At 39.5% G+C, this 18,849-nt stretch overlaps 1 annotated feature.

Annotated features, from left to right (window-relative positions):
* Nucleotides 1,803-2,304: an enhancer, noted in NCBI's record as "NANOG hESC enhancer chr3:150566660-150567161 (GRCh37/hg19 assembly coordinates)". NCBI's record gives its function as "activates a minimal SCP1, AML or CMV promoter by ChIP-STARR-seq in primed H9 embryonic stem cells {active_cell/tissue: H9 hESC(primed)}" and the evidence as "EXISTENCE:reporter gene assay evidence [ECO:0000049][PMID:30033119]".

The raw sequence follows: 18,849 nt of genomic DNA, 5'->3' as shown, positions 1-18,849 counted from the left end.
ATGAATAAAAGCCAATTCAAATCTTTAAGTTAAATTTGTTGGAATTTTGTCTTTTAACAGTTTGGGCGAACCAGATGAGACCCAACTTCTGAGACCCCTTGTGGAATGCAGGAGAGGCACTGCTGATCTCTTTTGAGGTCCCATGTCTTCTTCATAGAGCCTCAAATGTTGTGAGTTCCTCTCAGGTTGAGCTCTGTTCTTTTCTCATTAAGCACTCAATTCATTTTCGGCTTTTGAATCCAGGGTTTTGTACTATGAGAAGGCATATAACCTTTCAGGATTTGCAGTGACTGACAAGTCACTGGAAAAACTGTGCTAGATCCAGAGTTGGATTAGATTTGATAGTTAACTGAATTGAACTCAAGAGGCCTTGGGTAACTGACTGGGTTAGAGAGAAACTAAATTGAGTTGAGGGTCAAATTGATTGTCACAATTCAAGGAGTCTGAGATGACACCATTTGGGACTCCAGCTAATTTTATGTGTCAAAATTATGAGCCCAAATTGTGTGCGTTTTGGAAGAATGTGTTAACTTCACTAGAAGCAACTCAAAATTAAAGTGGCCATATATTAGTCCATTCTCCTGCTGCTATAAAGAACTGCCTGAGACTCGGTAATTTATAAAGAAAAGAGGTTTAACTGACTCACAGTTCCGCGGGGCTGGGGGAGCCTCAAAAAAACTTACAATCATGGCAGAAGAGGAAGCAAACATGTCCTTCTTTCCATAGCAGCAGCAAGGAGAAGTGCAAAGTGAATGGGGGAAAGCCCCTTGGAAAATCATCAGATCTCATAATAACAAACTCACTATCATGAGAAAAGCATGGGGGAAACACCCCCATGATCTAATCACCTCCCAGAAGGTCCCTCTCCCAACATGTGGGGATTACAATTTGGATTACAAGTCAAGATGAGATTTGGGTGGGGACACAGAGCCAGACCATATTGGGCCACAGTGGGAAAGTTTTAATTTGGATACAGTTGTTTATTTGCAAGAGACATTAGAAAAGAAGGAATCAAAAACTGTGTAAAAACAAGGAGATACATTTTTTAACCAGTATGCAGAGGCATCTAAAAGATTAAATAAATCAACATTTGCTTCCCTAAAAAAATTTGCAAAAGGCATATATACAAAGCTTAAACAACAACTAAGAATGTAACGAAAAAGGACGATACCCTCATTGAACTAACCCTTGCTGCTTTTTCTCTCCATCTATCTTTACTTCAATACTCTGAGTCCATTAACCTTCTTGTTCAATTACCGTTTCATTCTGGGGATAATAGAAAAAGGGGAAGTTAGTAGAGAATAGACTTTTCTTGCAAGTTCCACGTGCTGTGGAAAGCCCATTAAATTTTAGTCAAACTTAACATCTGTCAGTAAGTAGACTAACATCTTATTAAATTCTTTTGTCTTCTTCCAAACCCCACCTAAAACACTGCAGTCTGGGCATGATGGTTCACACCTGTAATCCCAATGTGTTGGGAGGCTAAGGTGGGAGTTCGAGACCAGCCTGAGCAACATAGCAAGATGCTGTCTCTACCAAAAAAAAAAAAATAATTAGCAGGCATGATGGCACATGCCTGTAGTCCAAGCTATTCGGAAGGCTAAGGTGGGAGGATCACTTGAGCCACGGAGTTCAAGACTGCAGTGAGTATGATCATGCCATTGCACTCCAGCCTGGGTGAGTGAGACCCTATCTTAAAAATAAAATAAATAAAACACTGCAACTTACTTAACCTTGAGACTCCACTACTTCTACTGTCTGACAGTGAAGACTATAACTATGTACATGTAATATTAGAATCAGTGGCCCCTCGTGTTGATTTACAAGATACTCCACTGGATAATCCTGAATAAATACTTTCTGTGGATGGGCCTTATTCCAAATACTCAGAAGGAAAATATCAGGCAGGGAATGCTGTTACAACCCAAACTGTATAGCAAGCCTTACCTGTTTAAGGTGTTTATTCTTGGCCATTATGTCTTAACTGGGCCTTTATCTATATCCTCCTTCCTTGATTTGGGCAAATAATGGTATTTAGACCTAAAGTCTCAGCTCTGTGCTTTTGAGATGGAAATTTTCTACCTTATTTACTAAGCCATTCCTTTGGAAATGCAAATTTGGGTTAAAACTTTTTAATAGTTGCCCCAGCACAGTGGCTGATGTCTGGAATCCCAGCACTTTGGGAGGCCAGGGCAGATGGATTGTTTGAACCCAGGAGTTCAAGACCAGCCTGGGCAACATAGCAAGACCTTGTCTCTATTTTTAAAATAATTAATTTAAAAAAATTTTAATAGTTATTAAAAACGGGGTAAGTAAAGCAAATAGTGATGGGGTTAAAACAAAAGGTAAATCTACCAAAGATTAGACAAAACAGAGGAACACCTGCCGGTCTGCCAACATTACAAGATCCCAAATCAATTCACTCTTTTTACCCCAGTTTGGAGAAATTTTTTAAAGTCAGAAGGCAGAAATTACAATGAACAACCTAGCTAACAATTACTTAGGGTAATGATCAAACAGGTCAGTAAAGAAAAGGCCAAAGGTCCCTTGATATAACCCCCTGATGGAATGGGATAAAAGTTGTTTAGGTGAACCTGTCATAGTTTCAAAATTCTTTTTCAGTGAAGTCTTAAAGTCATAATAAATTAAGAGAGATTCATAAAATGTCTGGGTTATTTCTAAGTAGGTTAAAATGCTAAAACTTTAATTTTTAAGCAAAAGTTTAATTTTACAAACTTTGGCATGTTTTTATACAGTCTAGAGAAGCTAATATGTGGGTCTGTTAATAAACAAAAATTGTGTTTTGAGAAAATGTTTCTAAAAATTATTTTAAATGCTGATACAAAACAGTTCAAAATTGCTCACTTCCTAGGTTTTCACTAGAAATTGGGGTTACTAATACTTAAAAAGTCGAATTAATATATGGCAATTAAAATTAGAAATAAGAGAAACAAAAAAAGTAAGACATGTTTTTGTAAGTGAAGCTTAGATGAAAAGTATGTTTTTGTTTTTTTAAAAAAAGTAATTTTTTCCTAAAGTAGAATGATTGATTGTCCCAAAATAAGAAAGAAGAAAACTATAGGACAAATGACTTAAAGGATATAAAATGTAGAAAGTTTATGAATCTTAGGAAATAAATTTTATGTGTGATCAGGGTGGCTAAAATTAGAAGGGAATTATAAGTTTTTTTTTAAAAATGGAGCATTAATATCAAAAGTACACTGATGCAAAAGTAGAATCTGGTCCTCTCCATTGAAACAGGATTTCCTTGGAGTAAGCCTCTTCTTTTAATAGGAAGTTGTAAAAGGTATTTTAGATAATTGGCCTGTGAAACAAAAGTAGGGTGTTTTATTAAAATAATTTCCTGTTCTTCATGTTGTCTTCTATTAGATCTTTGATTACTTAAGAAAATTGAGTCTTCTCAATATTAAAAGAGCTAAGTTTTTTGTCCAAAATGATGTAAACTTCTATATTTGCCTTTAAAATCTTTGATGGCCACTTTGCAGATTTTTAGGTTAAGTCAGCCAGTACTGAAATTGCTGACATCAGCAATTTGAATGAACTTTGTAAGGTTAATCCAATTCAACTTATATATGATAATCTATCTAATAAACAGGGCTATGCACCTGAATTGGAGAAAAAAAATTGACATTTTGAAGAATGTAAATGCAATGTTAAACATGAACTCATGGAGAGCATAGACGGTCACCTATCCTTCCTGAGTCTTTCAAGCTCCCATTAAAAGTTCTGCACACCATGACTTATCATGGAAAAGATAAAATGATTAAAATTATAAAAATGTGGTGTGGTGACTGCTCTAAGGTTGCCAAAATGGCTTATGACCAATGTTTGGTTTGTCAAACTCATATTCCTGGGGAGACAATCAAAACTGAAGGTATGTTTCTGCTACCTAATGGGCTGTTTGACCATTTATAGAGAAATTTCATTCAATTGCCATTTTCAACACGTGTTTTTCTGGTTATATAGAAGCATTCCCATGCAGGAAAGCTGATGTGATAACAGTAGCTTAAAAGTTACTAGAAAGTTTGTTTCCCTCATGGGGCATTCCTGGAGAAATCTCCAACAATAGAGGTACTTGTATAACTGGACAAGTTGTAAAATAGTTAAATAAGGTATTATAGATACAGTAACATTAGGGAAAGCTAACTGAATTGACTGGATTGGCTTGGTCAAAGACATTGCAGATTGATGGCAATAAGATCCACTTCCACTGAAAAAAATAAGTTGACCCCTTATGAAATAGTCACTGGAAGGCCTATACCCCTAATAATAAAACCTCATGTATCTTCTGCTCTTCTAAATTCTGACTAAATGCTGCAAGGCTCTAATGCATTATGCCAAAGTATATTTTCACTCAGTAAGGGAGGCTTTTTGTGATCCACCACTGAAGACAATCAAACCCTACATAACCTAGAACCTGGAGACTGGGTCTTATGGAAACAACTTCAGAGAAAGACTACATTTGAACCTCATTGAAAGGGATCATACAAAGTTCTTCTTACAGTCCACACTGCAGCAAAATTTCAGGACCTTATAATTTGGGTCCCTAATCTCACAACACAGAAGGGTTTCTCCAATTTCTTGGAACTGTAACACCCATTGGAAACCTTAATGTAAAGCTAACCAGGAAAGTTATCCCTTAGAAGCAGTTGACATCCTAGATGTGGACAGCCTTCCCAAGATCCCAGATCAAGACTTCTCTACCACCATGAAACTCTTACTTCTCTTAATTTTTCCTTGCTTATGCCTGCCTCTTTCACTGGCAGGATCATGCTGAAATTTAGATTTCACAGTTAGTTTCTTCTGGGGGTTACTTGATGAAGTGTTATATCTGCCATGCCAAACACAGATCTTTACATGACCTAAGGGATCCTTTAGTTCTCCTAGTGGGTAACTTTAGCAACATTCCTGACATGACTGCTGTTCAAATTGTAATAATGGTAAGATTTCTAGGCCTACTTTTTCTCACTCCCTGTTCTAATTTAACTCAGTAATGGAATACAAAAACAAAACCCATGAGCATATCACAAGACAGGTTTGCATCAAAAGCCCAAATGGAGTTTCTTGTAAACTGACATATGTCCCAGGGTACTATAGCATGCTTTAATCTGTAATAATGCAGATTCAGACCCTTGGGTAGAAACTGCTCATTCCACCATTCCAAATAATGTGTCCATGAACAAGAGAACTGGAAAAGGAACCTTGTGTGCACCCATGGGGTATAGTTTTATTTGTGGAGAATTTCATGGCCAACCTTATGTGTGGACAATCTAGTGCTTTGATGGATGGAAAATGAAGGCCAAAATGGGCTAGGAATTTTAATAGTCCCCTTGTTGCTCCATAATCAGTCAAAAACAGAACATTGGTCCACTATTCAACCTATGTCATAGATTAAAGAGAACATTGCCAGGAAACATTAACCATTCTGAAGGGACATTATTTGTTAGGTTCTTTCCCTCATAATTGGCTCTATAGCAGATTCTACTGCAAAGCTACAGCTACACAACAAACTTCTTTAAATCATCTTGCTAAAATTGTACTAGATAATAGAACTGCTTTAGACTGCCTACTGGCTGAACAGGCAGAAATCTGTGCAGTTGCTGATACTTCTTGTTACACATGGATTAATACATCAGGTATTAGAGAGACTCAGTTGCATAGGATTAACAGACAGGCTGCTTGGTCAAAATGGGTAGACCCCCCATCTGGCTCATTCTTTGATCTACTCGATTTTAGTTAGTTTAGTTCAACTGGCCCCTCCCTCTCCCAGAGGACACTCAAATTCACAATACTCTTTCTCCTTCCTCTCCTTAGTGGTTGACCATCTTGGGCATGAGATGTGCTACAGGAAGCATGCAGGTTACCCCTCAGCAGCAGCCCAAGAAGCCCAGATTATTCAAGAACTAATCAGACTCGGCCAGGCAGAAAGACAGGGAAACCCTGATGGACAAAACAAAGGTGGCAGGTAAGCAATGACTTGACTGCTACTTAAAAGCAAGACAGATTCACTAACTAAGCAATTTAAAACCAAACAGAGAGACAAGAGGTGTGCAAATGAGGTAGATAAGCAAACTCAATTGTCACTGTAAAATATAAGATAGGCCTTCTCATTTGGTTGTTCACAGGATTGTCTCAGAATACAAGCAGTACTGGATCTCTAATGAGGTATGTGCAAACGTGCACACTATGCATCATTTTCAAATTGTGAATCCAGTGCAGAGTAACATCAGTTATGCTATACTCCAGGGCATGAACTTTCAGGGTAATAAAGACAAAAAAAATTGTTGTGTACACATGGCTATAATCTTTGCTTGAAGTTATTTGTAGCAGCCCCGTGTAAAATGTAAAATTAAAAGCCAATTTGTAATTTCTTCCATAGAACAAAATTTTCCATTTTAAAAAGGAAATGGTACACCATGGAAAACACTGTGTTCCTTGAAGTGACCCAGGTCACCTTGCCCTGAATGCTTAAGTGGAGGCTGCTAGCACAAGGGTAAGGATGAAAGAGTTAGCCAAGAATTTAATAGTTCCAAGTATGTAAGGTATGACGAATCTCCTTGTTCTGCCCTCAATGTGATACCCTTTTCCAAGAACAATCAAAGAAATTTTATGAACAGCAGTCATTCTAATCTACTGGCCACGCCCAGGCTGTGTTTATTTTTTGTTGCCCACTCCCCACTGCCCGCACCCCCAGCTCTTTTCTCCATAAATACTCAGAGAGCTTCTTGATAGTTTTGTTTACATGGAGTTTGCCACTACATAAATAACTCTGAAACCTATCCTGTCTCTCCCATTTTTCTGTGCTCCTCCTTTTCATAAACTGCCTTGTGAGCCATCCTTTGTTCTAAGAAGCAAATTTAATCAGTCCTTAGGTGTTGATAGAAAGGTATCTTTTGGTGAGCTAATTGAACAGTTCCCTTTTTTGATGGAAAGAATAGGGAATAGGGAATAGCGGTGGGGTGTGTGTGTGTGTGTGTGTGTGTGTGGTGTGTGTGTGGTGTGTGTGTGTGAGAGAGAGAGAGAGAGAGAGAGAAAGAGACAGAGAGAACCTCCAAAGTATCTCAAAACAGACTGGTAAGGGGCAAGCTGCCCAGAGAGCTGAACTGATAAGACAGGGAAGAATGCAGCCTAGGAAATATACACATTTTATAGAAACCCGTAACAGATACCTGTTCAGTCAGAAAAGTTGACTTCTTGTAATAAGTCTGGCTTATGATTTTGTGTGAGAAGAAAATAACATTTTCTCTCTGCCTTCAGCTTTCTCATTTTTAAATAACTGCAGCTGCAATCTATTTGCAAACAGTGTTAGAACTATAGCAATACTTTTTAAGTACTTTAATGTCCTTCAGACAATAATGAAATAATTATCAAAGAAAGAAAAAATGATCAAATTTTAGTAGAAGTCTAATGGTTAAGAGTTTGGCATGTATTTTTTTTTCAATCAATTTAGAAGTTTATTTTGTCAAGGTTAAGGACATGCCTGGGAGACAGGTCTGTGCCTTTTCTCCAAAGACGATTTTGAGAGCTTCAATATTTAAAGGGGAAAAGCAGACTAGAGGGGAAAGAGGGAGGGTATGGTCATATTACTGAATCCACATGTTGCAAGAGAAATGGAGCAGGTAGGAGAATAGTCAATTATGTATTCATAACATGCTCAGTAATTCCGTACTTTACATAAGATAAGGTGAACATAGAGTGGTTACCTGTGGAGATGGTTATAGGTAAAAGGTTAAAGATCTGCTTAGGAACAAAAGGAAAGACAGTTTCTTGCATGACTCAGCTTTCAGCTTTATTTTTCCTTTTGGCATAGTGAATTGGGTTCCCGAGTTATTTTCTTTTCACATTTCTTCCCACTTTTATTTTTAAAACCTTTCAGAGTAAGCAATTTTGGAAGAAAATGAGTCTCTGGCCTTGGATTTTGTCTGATCTCTCATGGCTAAGAGAGTTTACGCGTAGAAGAATAGGTCCCACGTTGTTAGGAAAGCTCATTTTTAGCAGGTTGTGAAGTCTCATATCCTATGAGGAAAATAGAGGGGGAGGCACAGAGAAAAACAAACAATAAACAAAAACAGGCAACAATCCTGGAAAACTGATATAGGCTATGATACTCTGAAGTCCATACATCAGTAGGCAGGTATGAAAGTGGTTTATGTATAGGTTGTTTTTATTTTCCTCCAAAGTTTAAGTTGTCAAGCTTCAGTTTGCAGGGTTTTAAGAAAAGCACAGCTTAATTTTTAGTAATTTCAAATCAGGAAAAGTGGAGAAAAAAGGAGAAGAAAGAAGGAAAAAAAATGAAAACATTATTTTGGAGACTTGTAACCAGGAAAAGTTTTAAAATTCAGTCCAAATTGTAGAAAATAATAAAAATTTTGGGGGAGGGCAAGATGCCTACTAGACACAGCCAGGAGGAAACAGCTCCCACCAAGGGAAAGAGGACTGGTGTCCTCCTAACAGATCTTCAAAGGGAAGACAGCAAGAGTGGACAGAGGGAAGACACAGAAGCTGGGCTGAAGGGAGAGAAAGTTGAGAACCCTACATGGGGTTACAGTGCACCCAGACTCAATTCTGGCCCCCAGTGACTCTGGGGAAATGGGTGAATTGAACTGGCAAGAAGCAACCTGCTCTCACCAAGGGCCTCTGGAACCCTGGCAAGAGGAGACCCCTTGACCACCATGAACACTCAAGTTGGCAGGGAGAGCTGCTTAGAGAAATGATAGGGTAGCAAGACAGCTGATGTGGAGACTAGAGGGTTGGTGTTGGCGCTTCTGTGGTGGAGCATGGCCAGGGGACGGCCATCGTACTAGGCTTGACTTGCTCCCAGAGGAGACTCCAGCCTAGGGGAACTGTCAGACCTGAACTCTGCAGAGTGGTTTTGCACATCAGACAGGGCTCATTCGACCTGAACATCCCTTGGTCTGCCAGCCTTTTATACCCCAATTACATAAAGTCATCTATCACATACGCCTTTACCATTAGTCTCATCCCCATAACTATATTTATATGCACAGGTCAAGAGGCCATCATCTCAAACTGACACTGAGTAAGGATCAAAACCCTAAAACTCTCACTCAGCTTCAAACTAGACCCAGTGTTACTGGTGGAGGGTCTTGACTACAAGTCATCCAGGTTCTTGGCATTTTGAACAAAGAATTGGACAAAATGCACAAACAAAGTCAGGGAAGAATGAAGCAATGAAAGCAGAGATTTATTGAAATAAAAGTACTCTCCAGAGAGTGGGAGTATGCTTGAGCAAGTGGCTCAAGCGCAGGTTACAAAATTTTCTGGTGTTTAAATACCCTCTAGAGGCTTCCCATTGGTTACTTGGGCTATGCCCTATGTAAATGAAGTAGTGGCCTGCAATGAGTCTGATCGGTTGCAGAAGACAATCAATCAGAGGCTAAAGTTACAAAGTCACACCCCATGCAAACATCTGATAGGTTGTAGGAGGGAACCAATTAGAGACTAAAGTGAAGTTACGAAGTTATACTCCTATGCAAATAAAGACTAGGACTATGACCAATCTGATTGGTTGTGGGACAGGACCAATAAGAGGTACTTTCAACTTTTCATCTGCCACGCAGAAAGTTGGGGGCAGGGGTTCCAAAGGGAGTAGCCTCTGGTCCTTTTGTTACTTGGGTGTGGAAAGTTGGGGTTTTCCTTTTGACTTGGTTCAAGAAAGTCAATGTGAATCAGCCTTAGGTTCCCTGCCTCCAGACCCTATTCTCCTGTCTCACTGGGGCCCCAGCCTTGGCATGCCTTCTTGCAGGGCAGTCTTGGGTGCCCTGGGGGCCTGCACCATAGATTCTGCACTGGCAGGATCATGCCTGACCTGCAGAGAGCTCCAGTGGGGCAGCCCCTGTGCCCACGCACCAGTCCACATTCTCCCTCCCAACACTGCAGTTTCCCCCAGGCCCATGGCAAGTCCCCACATTACTTTGCTGGCAGGTGTCTATGCCAGTGGGTTTTGCTTGCCTTGCCCTGCCAGGTGAGGGAATGTAGCCCACCCCCCTCCCCCCCGTCAACTGCCATTGCAGATGGAGCCTTGGCAGGCACAGAGCCAGCCAGCCTCACCCTTGTGCTAACACTGTGCAGAGAACAGTGAATCCTCCCCAACCCTCAGTGACACCCCTCGTTGCTGGGCACAGAGAAAGCATCCAGACTTGCGCCCTCCAGTGCTCCATCCCCAAGCCAACACCACCTCCAGCATAATCCTGCACTCAATCACCAGCAGGGGTCCCCCACCCCCCTCCCAGCTGCATTGCCTCCACCACTGTGGTGAATGCCAGCAGGGAGGCAGGTACCCTGGCACCCACTGGCATTCTACCACAGCTGCTGCTACCACTGCTGCTGACATGTGTGAACAAGGACAAATCCTATAGTCACTGCACTATTAAATGCTTTAGCTGACACTACTCATCAGATTTTAGTGACCAGCAGTCTGGGAATACCTCAGTGCCACCCCCTGCATCTCACCTCCCACCAGTACAGTGGATTCCTAACCTCGAGGAGCCAGAGAACAAAGTTGGTGCCCAATACAAGTCCCCCAGAGTTAGAGCACACAGTCTAGGAGTTGGGAGCTGAGCACTGACACCCTAAAATCTTCCAGAAATGAAGCCAGCCAGTTGAACCTACCTCATATCACAATCAAACCCTCAAGGTCATCAAATACAAGAAAAGAAAAAAAAATCCAAAGGTCAGCAACCTCAAAGATTGTAGGAAGATAAGCCCACAGAGATGAGAAAGAATCAGTGCAAGAACCCTGACAACTCAAAAAGTCAGAGTGCCTACTTTCCTCCAAATGACTGCATCACCTCTCCAGCAAGGGTTCTGAATCAGGCTGAGGTGGCTCAAATGACAGAAAATCGAATTCAGAATAGGTACAGAAATGAAGATCATTGAGCTACAGAAGTATGTTGAAACCCAATCCAAGGAAGCTAAAAATCATGATAAAACAATGTAGGAAATGACAGACAAAATAGCCAGTATAGAAAAGAAGGAAACTGACCTAAGAGAGCTAAAATACACACTACAAGAATTTCATAATGCACTCACAAGTATTAATAGCAGAATAGAAGGAGCAAAGGAAAGAATCTCAGAACTTGAAGGCTGGCTTTCTGAAACAAGACAGTCAGATAAGAATAGAGAAAAAATAAAAAGGAACAAACAACCTCTGAGAAATATAGGATTATATAGAGACCAAATCTATGACCCATTGGTGTCCCTGAAAGCAATAAGAATGGAACCAACTTGGAAAATGTATTTCATTATATCATCCATCAGAACTTCCCCAACATAGCTAGAAAGGCCAGTATTCAAATTCAGGAAGTGCAGAGAACCCCAGTAAGATATTTTACAAGAAGTTCACCCCCAAGACACATAATCATCAGATTCTACAAGGTCAAAATGAAAGAAAAAATGTTAAAGGCAGCTAGAGAGAAAGGTCAAGTCACCTACAAAGGGAAGCTCATCAGCCTAACAGTAGAACTTTCAGCAGAAACCCTACAAGCCAGAAAGGATTGGGGGGCCAATATTCAACATTCTTAAAGAAAAGAAATTCCAACCTAGAATTTCATATCTGGCCAAACTAAGCTTCATAAGTGAAGGAGAAATATATTTTTCAGACAAGCAAATGCTGAGGAAATTCATTACCACCTACCTTACAAGAGCTCCTGAAGGAAGCACTAAATATAAGGGGAAAATACTATTACCATTACCAGCCACTACAAAAACACACCAAAGTACACAGACCAGTGACACTAAAGCAACCACATAAACAAGTCTGCAAAATAACCAGCTAACATCATGATGACAGAATCAAATCCACACATATCAATACTAACCTTGAATGTAAATGGGCTAAATGCCCCAATTAAGAGGCACAGAATGGCAAGCTGGATAAAGAACAAAGAACAAAGACACATTAGTATGCTGTCTTCAAGAGACCCATCTCACATGCAGTGACACACATAGGCTCAAAATAAAGGGACTGAGAAAAATCTACCAGGCAAATGGAAAACAGAAAAAAGAGGTGGGGTGGTCAATATTAGGTGTCAACTCACTTGCATTGAAGGATGCCTAGATGGCTGGTAAAGTACTGTTTTGGGGTGTGTCTATGAGGGTGTTGCCAAAGATTGACATTTGAGTTAGTGGGCTGGGAGAGAAGACCCACCCTCAATGTGGATGGAGACCATCCAATCAGCTACCAGTGCCACTAGAACAAAGCAGGTGAGAAAAGGTGGAATAACATTGCTTTCTGAGTCTTCTGTCTTCCTTCTTTTTCCCGTATTGGATGTTTCCTTTTGTTCCTCCTGCTCTTGAACATCAGACTGCAAGTTCTTTGGCCGTTGGACTCAGGAATTTGCACCAGTAGTTTGACAGATGCTCTAGGGCCTTCAGCCACAGACTGAAGGCTGCACTGTTGGCTTCACTGGATTTGAGGCTTTCAGACTCAGACTGAGCCACTGCTGGCTTTTCTCTTCCCCAGCTTGCAGATGGCTTATCATAAGCCTTCATCTTGTGTGAGCCACTTCTCCCTACTAAACTGCCTTTCATATATACATATATCCTATTAGTTCTGTCCCTCTGGAGAACACTGACTAATAAAACAGGGGTTGCAATCCTAGTTTCAAACAGACTTTAAACCAACAAAGATCAAAAAAGACAAAGAATGGCATTACATAATGGTAAAGGGTTCAATTCAACAAGAAGATCTAACTATCCTAAATACATATGCAATCACCACAGGAGCTCCCAGATTCACAGAGCAAGTTCTTAGAGACCTTCAAAGAGACTTAGACTCCCACACAATAATAGTGAGAGACTTTAACACCCCACAGACAACATTAGACAGATAATTGAGACAGAAAATTAACAAAGATATTCAGGACCTGAACTCAGCACTGGATCAAATGGGCCTGATAGACATCTACACAGCTCTCCACTCAAAGACAGAATATGCGTTTTTCTCTTTGCCACATGGCACGTACTCTAAAATCGATCACATAATCGGAAGTAAGACACTCCTCAGCAAATACAAAAGAACTGAAATCAAAACAATCTCAGACCACAGCATAATCAAATGGCAAACCAAGACTAAGAAATTCACTCAAAACCACACAATTACATGGAAATTTGAATAACCTGCTCCTGAGTGACTGCTGGATAAACAATGAAATAAAGGCAGAAATCAAGAAGTTCTTTGAAACTGATGAGAACAAAGATACAACATACCAGAATCTCTGAGACACAGTTAAAACAGTGTTAAGAGGGACATTTATAACACTAAATGCCCACATCAAAAAGTTAGAAAGATATCAAGTTAATAAACTAACATCACAACTAAAAGAACTAGAGAACCAAGAATAAACAAACCCCAAAGCTAGCAGAAGACAAGAAATAATCGAAATCAGAGCTGAACTGAAGGATTGAGACACACAAAAAATCATTCAAAATATCCAGAAACTGGTTTTCTGAAAAAATTAATAAAGTAGGCTGCTAGCTAGACTAATAAAAAAAAGATTAGAGAGAAGATTCAAATAAACACAATCAGAAATGTCAAGAGGGATATTACCACTGACCCCACAGAAAAACAAATAGCCATCAGAGAATATTATGAACATTATGTGCATAAACTAGAAAATCTAGAAGAAACTGACAAATCCCTAGACACATACACCATCCCAAGACTGAACCAGGAAGAAATTGAATCCCTGAATAGACCAGTAACAAGCTCTGAAATTGAGTCAATAATAAGTAGCCTACCAAAAAAAGGCCAGGGGCTGGATGCAATGGCTCAAGCCTATAATCCCAGCACTTCGAGAGGCCAAGGCAAGTGGATCATTTGAAATCAGAGGCAAGTGGATCATTTGAAATCAGGAGTTTGAGACCAGCCTGGCCAATATGGTGAAACCCCCCTCTACTAAAAATATAAAAATTAGCTGGATGCGGTGGCACATGCCTGTAATTCCAGCTACTCGCCAGGCTGAGGCATAAGAATCGCTTGAACCCAGGAGGCAGAGGTTGCAGTCAGCCAAGATCACACCACTGCACTCCAGCCTGGGCGACAGAGTGAGGCTCTGTCTCAAAAACAAAAACAAAAACAAAAAACGGAAGACCAGACAGATTCACAGCTGAATTCTACTAGATATACAAAGAAGAGCTGTTACTATTCCTGCTGAATCTATTCCAAAAAATTGAGGAGGAGAGACTCCTCCCTAACTAATTCTATAAGGTCAGCATCATTCAGATACCAAAACCTGGCAAAGACACAACAAAAAAGAAAACTTTGAGCCAATATCCTTGATGAACATTGATGCAAAAATCCTCAACAAATACTGGCCAACCGAATCCAGCAGCACATCAAAACTCTTATCTACCACAATCAAGTTTATCCCTGGGATGCAAGGTTGGTTCAACACATGCAAATCAATAATTGTGATTTATCACATAAAGAGAACTAAAGATAGAAACCATATGATTATCTCAATAGATGCAGAAAAGGCTTTTGATAAAATTTAACACCGCTTCATATTAAAAACTCAGTAAACTAGGTACTGAAGGAACATACCACAAAATAATAAGAGCCATGTATGACAAACACACAGCAAACATCATACTGAATAGGCAAAAGCTGGAAGCCTTCCCCTTGAAACTTGGCAGAAGACAAGAATGCCCTCTCTCTCCACTCCTGTTCAACGTAGTGTTGGATATCCTGGCAAGGGCAATCAGGCAAGAGAAAGAAAAAGAGGGCATTTAAATAGGAAAAGAGGAAGTCAAACTATCCCTGTTTCTAGGTGACATGATCCTAAATCTAGAAAACCCCATAGTTTCAGCCCAAAAGCTCTTTAAGCTGATAAACAACTTCAGCAAAGTCTCAGGATACAAAATCAATATTCAAAAATCACTAGCACTCTAGGCCGGGCACGGTGCTCATGCCTGTAATCCCAGCACTTTGGGAGGCCAAGGCAGGCGGATCACGAGGCCAAGAGACTGAAACCATCCTGGCCAACATGGTGAAACCCTGTCTCTACTAAAAATTCAAAAATTAGTTGGGCATGGTGGCGCATGCCTGTAATCCCAGCTATTCGGGAGGCTGAAGTAGAAGAATCACTTGAAACCGGGATGCAGAGGTTGCAGTGAGCCAAGATTGTGCCATTGCACTCCAGCCTGGGCAGCAAGAGCCAAACTCTGTCTCAAAAAAGGAAAAAAAAAAAAAATCACTAACACTCCTATACACCAGTAACAGTCAAGCCAAGAGCCAAATCAAGAATGCAGTCCTATTCACAATTCACACACACACACACACACACACACACACACACACACACACACACGGAATGCAGCTAACCAGAGAGGTAAAAGATCTCTACAAGGAGAGCTACAAAATGCCACTCAGAGAAATCTGAGATGACAAAAACAAATGCAAAAACATTCCATGCTCATGGATAGGAAGAATCAATATTGTTAAAATGGCTATACTACCTAAAACAATTTATAGATTCAATGCTATTTTTATTAAACTACCATTGACGTTCTTCATGGAACTAGAAAAAACTATTTTAAAATTCACAGGGAACCAAAAAAGAGCCCAAATAGCCAAGGCAATCCTAAGCAAAAAGAACAAAGCTGGCAGCATCACACCACCTGACTTCAAAATATACTACAGGGCTACAGTAAACAAAACAGCATGGTACTGGTACAAAACAGCCCAGAAATAATGCCACACACCTACAACTATCTGATCTTTGACAAACCTGACAAAAAAGAGCAATAAGGAAAGGATTCCCTATTCAATAAATGGTGCTGGGATAACTGGCTAGCCATATGCAGAAGATTGAAAATGGATCCCTTCCTTACACCATATACAAAAATTAACTGAAGATGGATTAAAGACTTAAATGTAAAAACCCCAAATTATAAAAACTCTGGAAGATACATAGACAATACCATTTTGGACATAGGAACAGACAAAGATTTCATGGTGAAGACACCAAAAGCAATTGCTACAAAAGCAAGAATTGACAGATGGGATTTAATTAAACTAAAGAGCTTCTGCACAGCAAAAGAAACTATCAACAGAGTGAACAGACAACCTACAGAATGGGGGAAACTTTTTGCAAACTGTGCATCTGACAAAGGTCTAATATCCAGCATCTATAAGGAATTTATACAAATATACAAGAATAAAACAACTCCATTAAAAAATGGGCAAAGGACATGAACATACGCTTTTCAAAAGAAGACATACATGCAGTCAACAAGCATATGACAAAAAGCTCAACATCACTGATCACTGGAGAAATGCAAATCAAAACCACAATGAGATACCATCTTACACCAGTCAGAATGGCTATTATTAACAAGTCAAAAAATAGCAGATGCTGGAGAGGTTGCAGAGAAAAGGGAACACTTATACACTGTTGGTGAGAGTGTAAGTTAGTTCAACCATTGTAAAAAGCAGTGTGATGATTCCTCAAAGACCTAAAAACAGAAATACCATTCAACCCAGCAATCCCAGTACTGGGTATATACCTAAAGGAATATAAATCATTATTTTATAAAGACACATGCGTATGTATGTTCATTGCAGCACTATTCACAATAGCAATCTAACTAATGCTCATCAATGAAATGAACCTAAATGCTCATCACTGGTAGACTGGATAAAGAAAATGTGGTACATGTGCACCATAGAATACTGCACAGCCATAAAAAAGAATGAGATTATGTCCTTTGCAGGAACATGGTTGGAGCTGGAGGCCGTTATCCTTAGCAAACCAATGCGGGTACAGAAAACCAAATACCACATGTTCTCACTTATAAGTGGGAGCTAAATGATGAAAACACATGGACACATAGAGGGAAGCAACACACACTGGGGCCTCTTGAGGGTGGATGATGGGAGGAAGAGAGCATCAGGAAAAATAACTTATGGGTACTAGGCTTAATACCCAAGTGACAAAATAATCTGTACAACAAACCCCCGTGACAGAAGTTTATCTATGTAGCAAACCTGCACGTGTAGCAAACCTGCACATGTAGCAAACCTGCACTTAGATAAACAAGTTTATCTATGTAGCAAACCTGCATATAAAACAAAGTTAAATAAAACAAAAAGAGGAAAATAATAAAAATTGAAAAACATTATACAAGGCTAGACTCTAATAACAGATGTATTATAGTTTATTTTGAAACATTATTTTTCTCTCTCCAATTCTCCAATTTTATTAAAATTTTATTAAAAATCATAGTAGGACCAATTTGTTTGTAGAATAAGTTTTAGTCCTAGGGCTGGGCACAGTGGTTCACACCTTTAATCCCAGCACTTTGGGAAGCTGAGGTGGCTGGATCACATGAGTGAGTTCCAGGCAAAACCCCATCTCTATTAAAAAAGTAAAAGAAGAGGAAGAAGAGGAAGAGGAAGAGTAAGAAGAAGAAGAAACAATTAAAAAAGAAAAGTTTTAGTTTAATCCTATTATACTTGGCTTGATTATTGCATAAATGCAACAAGAATAATCATTTGCCATATATGCTCTTTAAAAAAAAAATTGGCTTTGCTGGAAACTTTTTCATAAGGAATCCAAGATTAGACCTTCATAAAAGCTTCAAGCCCAGCCAAGGATTTATCTGTGCCTGCAGATACCTGTGTGAACTGGGTGTATTCCTCTTTTCAAGGTCCCAAAAAAAAACTTGGGGTTCCTAGGCCTGTCCATGACGTTCTTTACTTACCACAAGTTAGGATTCTATAAAGGACAAAGTATGGGGCCAGTTTTTCCAAGGGGATTTTATTGGCTCTATAAGTCAGCCTCATTTTCTTAAGACAATTTTGAAAATAATATATTATTCCAGTTAAGGCCTTGGTAAAATAACCAGTGTTTCCAATGATGAGAATATGGCATATATTTTTAAGCATAATATGTCTACACACATGAAAGACATACTATCTAAGTACAGATAGTGTTTCCTAATGTTAGTTTAGGTCCATGCTCTGCCAATTGCTTTATCTTTCCTCCTTATGTTCATCTCTGTAGCAGTAAAGATTTTCTAATTATCAAATTTCAAAAGGTATTATCCTATATATGCAAATACCTTGCCATAAATTTGAAGTTTTTAGAGATTAAATATTTTTAATGTGATCCAACAAGGCTGCCTATAAAATGATAGTAGAATTGTGTTAACAGGCAAATAATCACTGAAAATTAAGTTTACTATTAAGTTACAACGTCATATACCTTGTGTGTGCAGTTTAGAACTGCAGGAAGTGGCTTTTCTTTTAAATTTCACAAAATGGAATTTAATGCAAGATATCAGAGAGGTTCAGCCTTGTAAAAAAAGGCCACTGTCCATACTGACTGAGGCAGTCTTTCTCCCAGTGCTCCTGCACCTGAACACTTCTGTCATCTGCTCATCCCACCTCAACCTGAGCCCCACGACACCCTGGGAGCCTTCATCCCCTCCTTTCAGCAACCAAAAACTGGCAAGCACTCACTGAAACCTTAATATTAAGTAAAATCCCCGGATCCCTCTGCTACGACAGAGGAGGTTAAGACTTAAACATAGAAAGTCTCATACTAGCGTCAGGTACTTTACATGCTTCTTTAATGACTGATTTAAAACCCCACTTGAAAACAGCTTCAGTATCTAATATTGTAATGGAAATTTACATAGCCAAAGAAAGAATCCCAAAGAAATCACATGACAAATTTCCCAACTGACTCACCTCCATCACTATATTTTTTAGCTCATAATCAAAATAACGTTAAATCAATTGCATTTAAATGTGCATTAGATTTGCAACGTGTTTTTCCACGTATCAGCTACTGTAAGCTT

This window comes from Homo sapiens, chromosome 3, assembly GCF_000001405.40.
Source record: "Homo sapiens chromosome 3, GRCh38.p14 Primary Assembly".
NCBI lineage: Eukaryota > Metazoa > Chordata > Mammalia > Primates > Hominidae > Homo > Homo sapiens.
The sequence above is the reverse complement of the archived record's forward strand: the minus strand, read 5'-3'. Positions and strand labels throughout refer to the sequence as shown.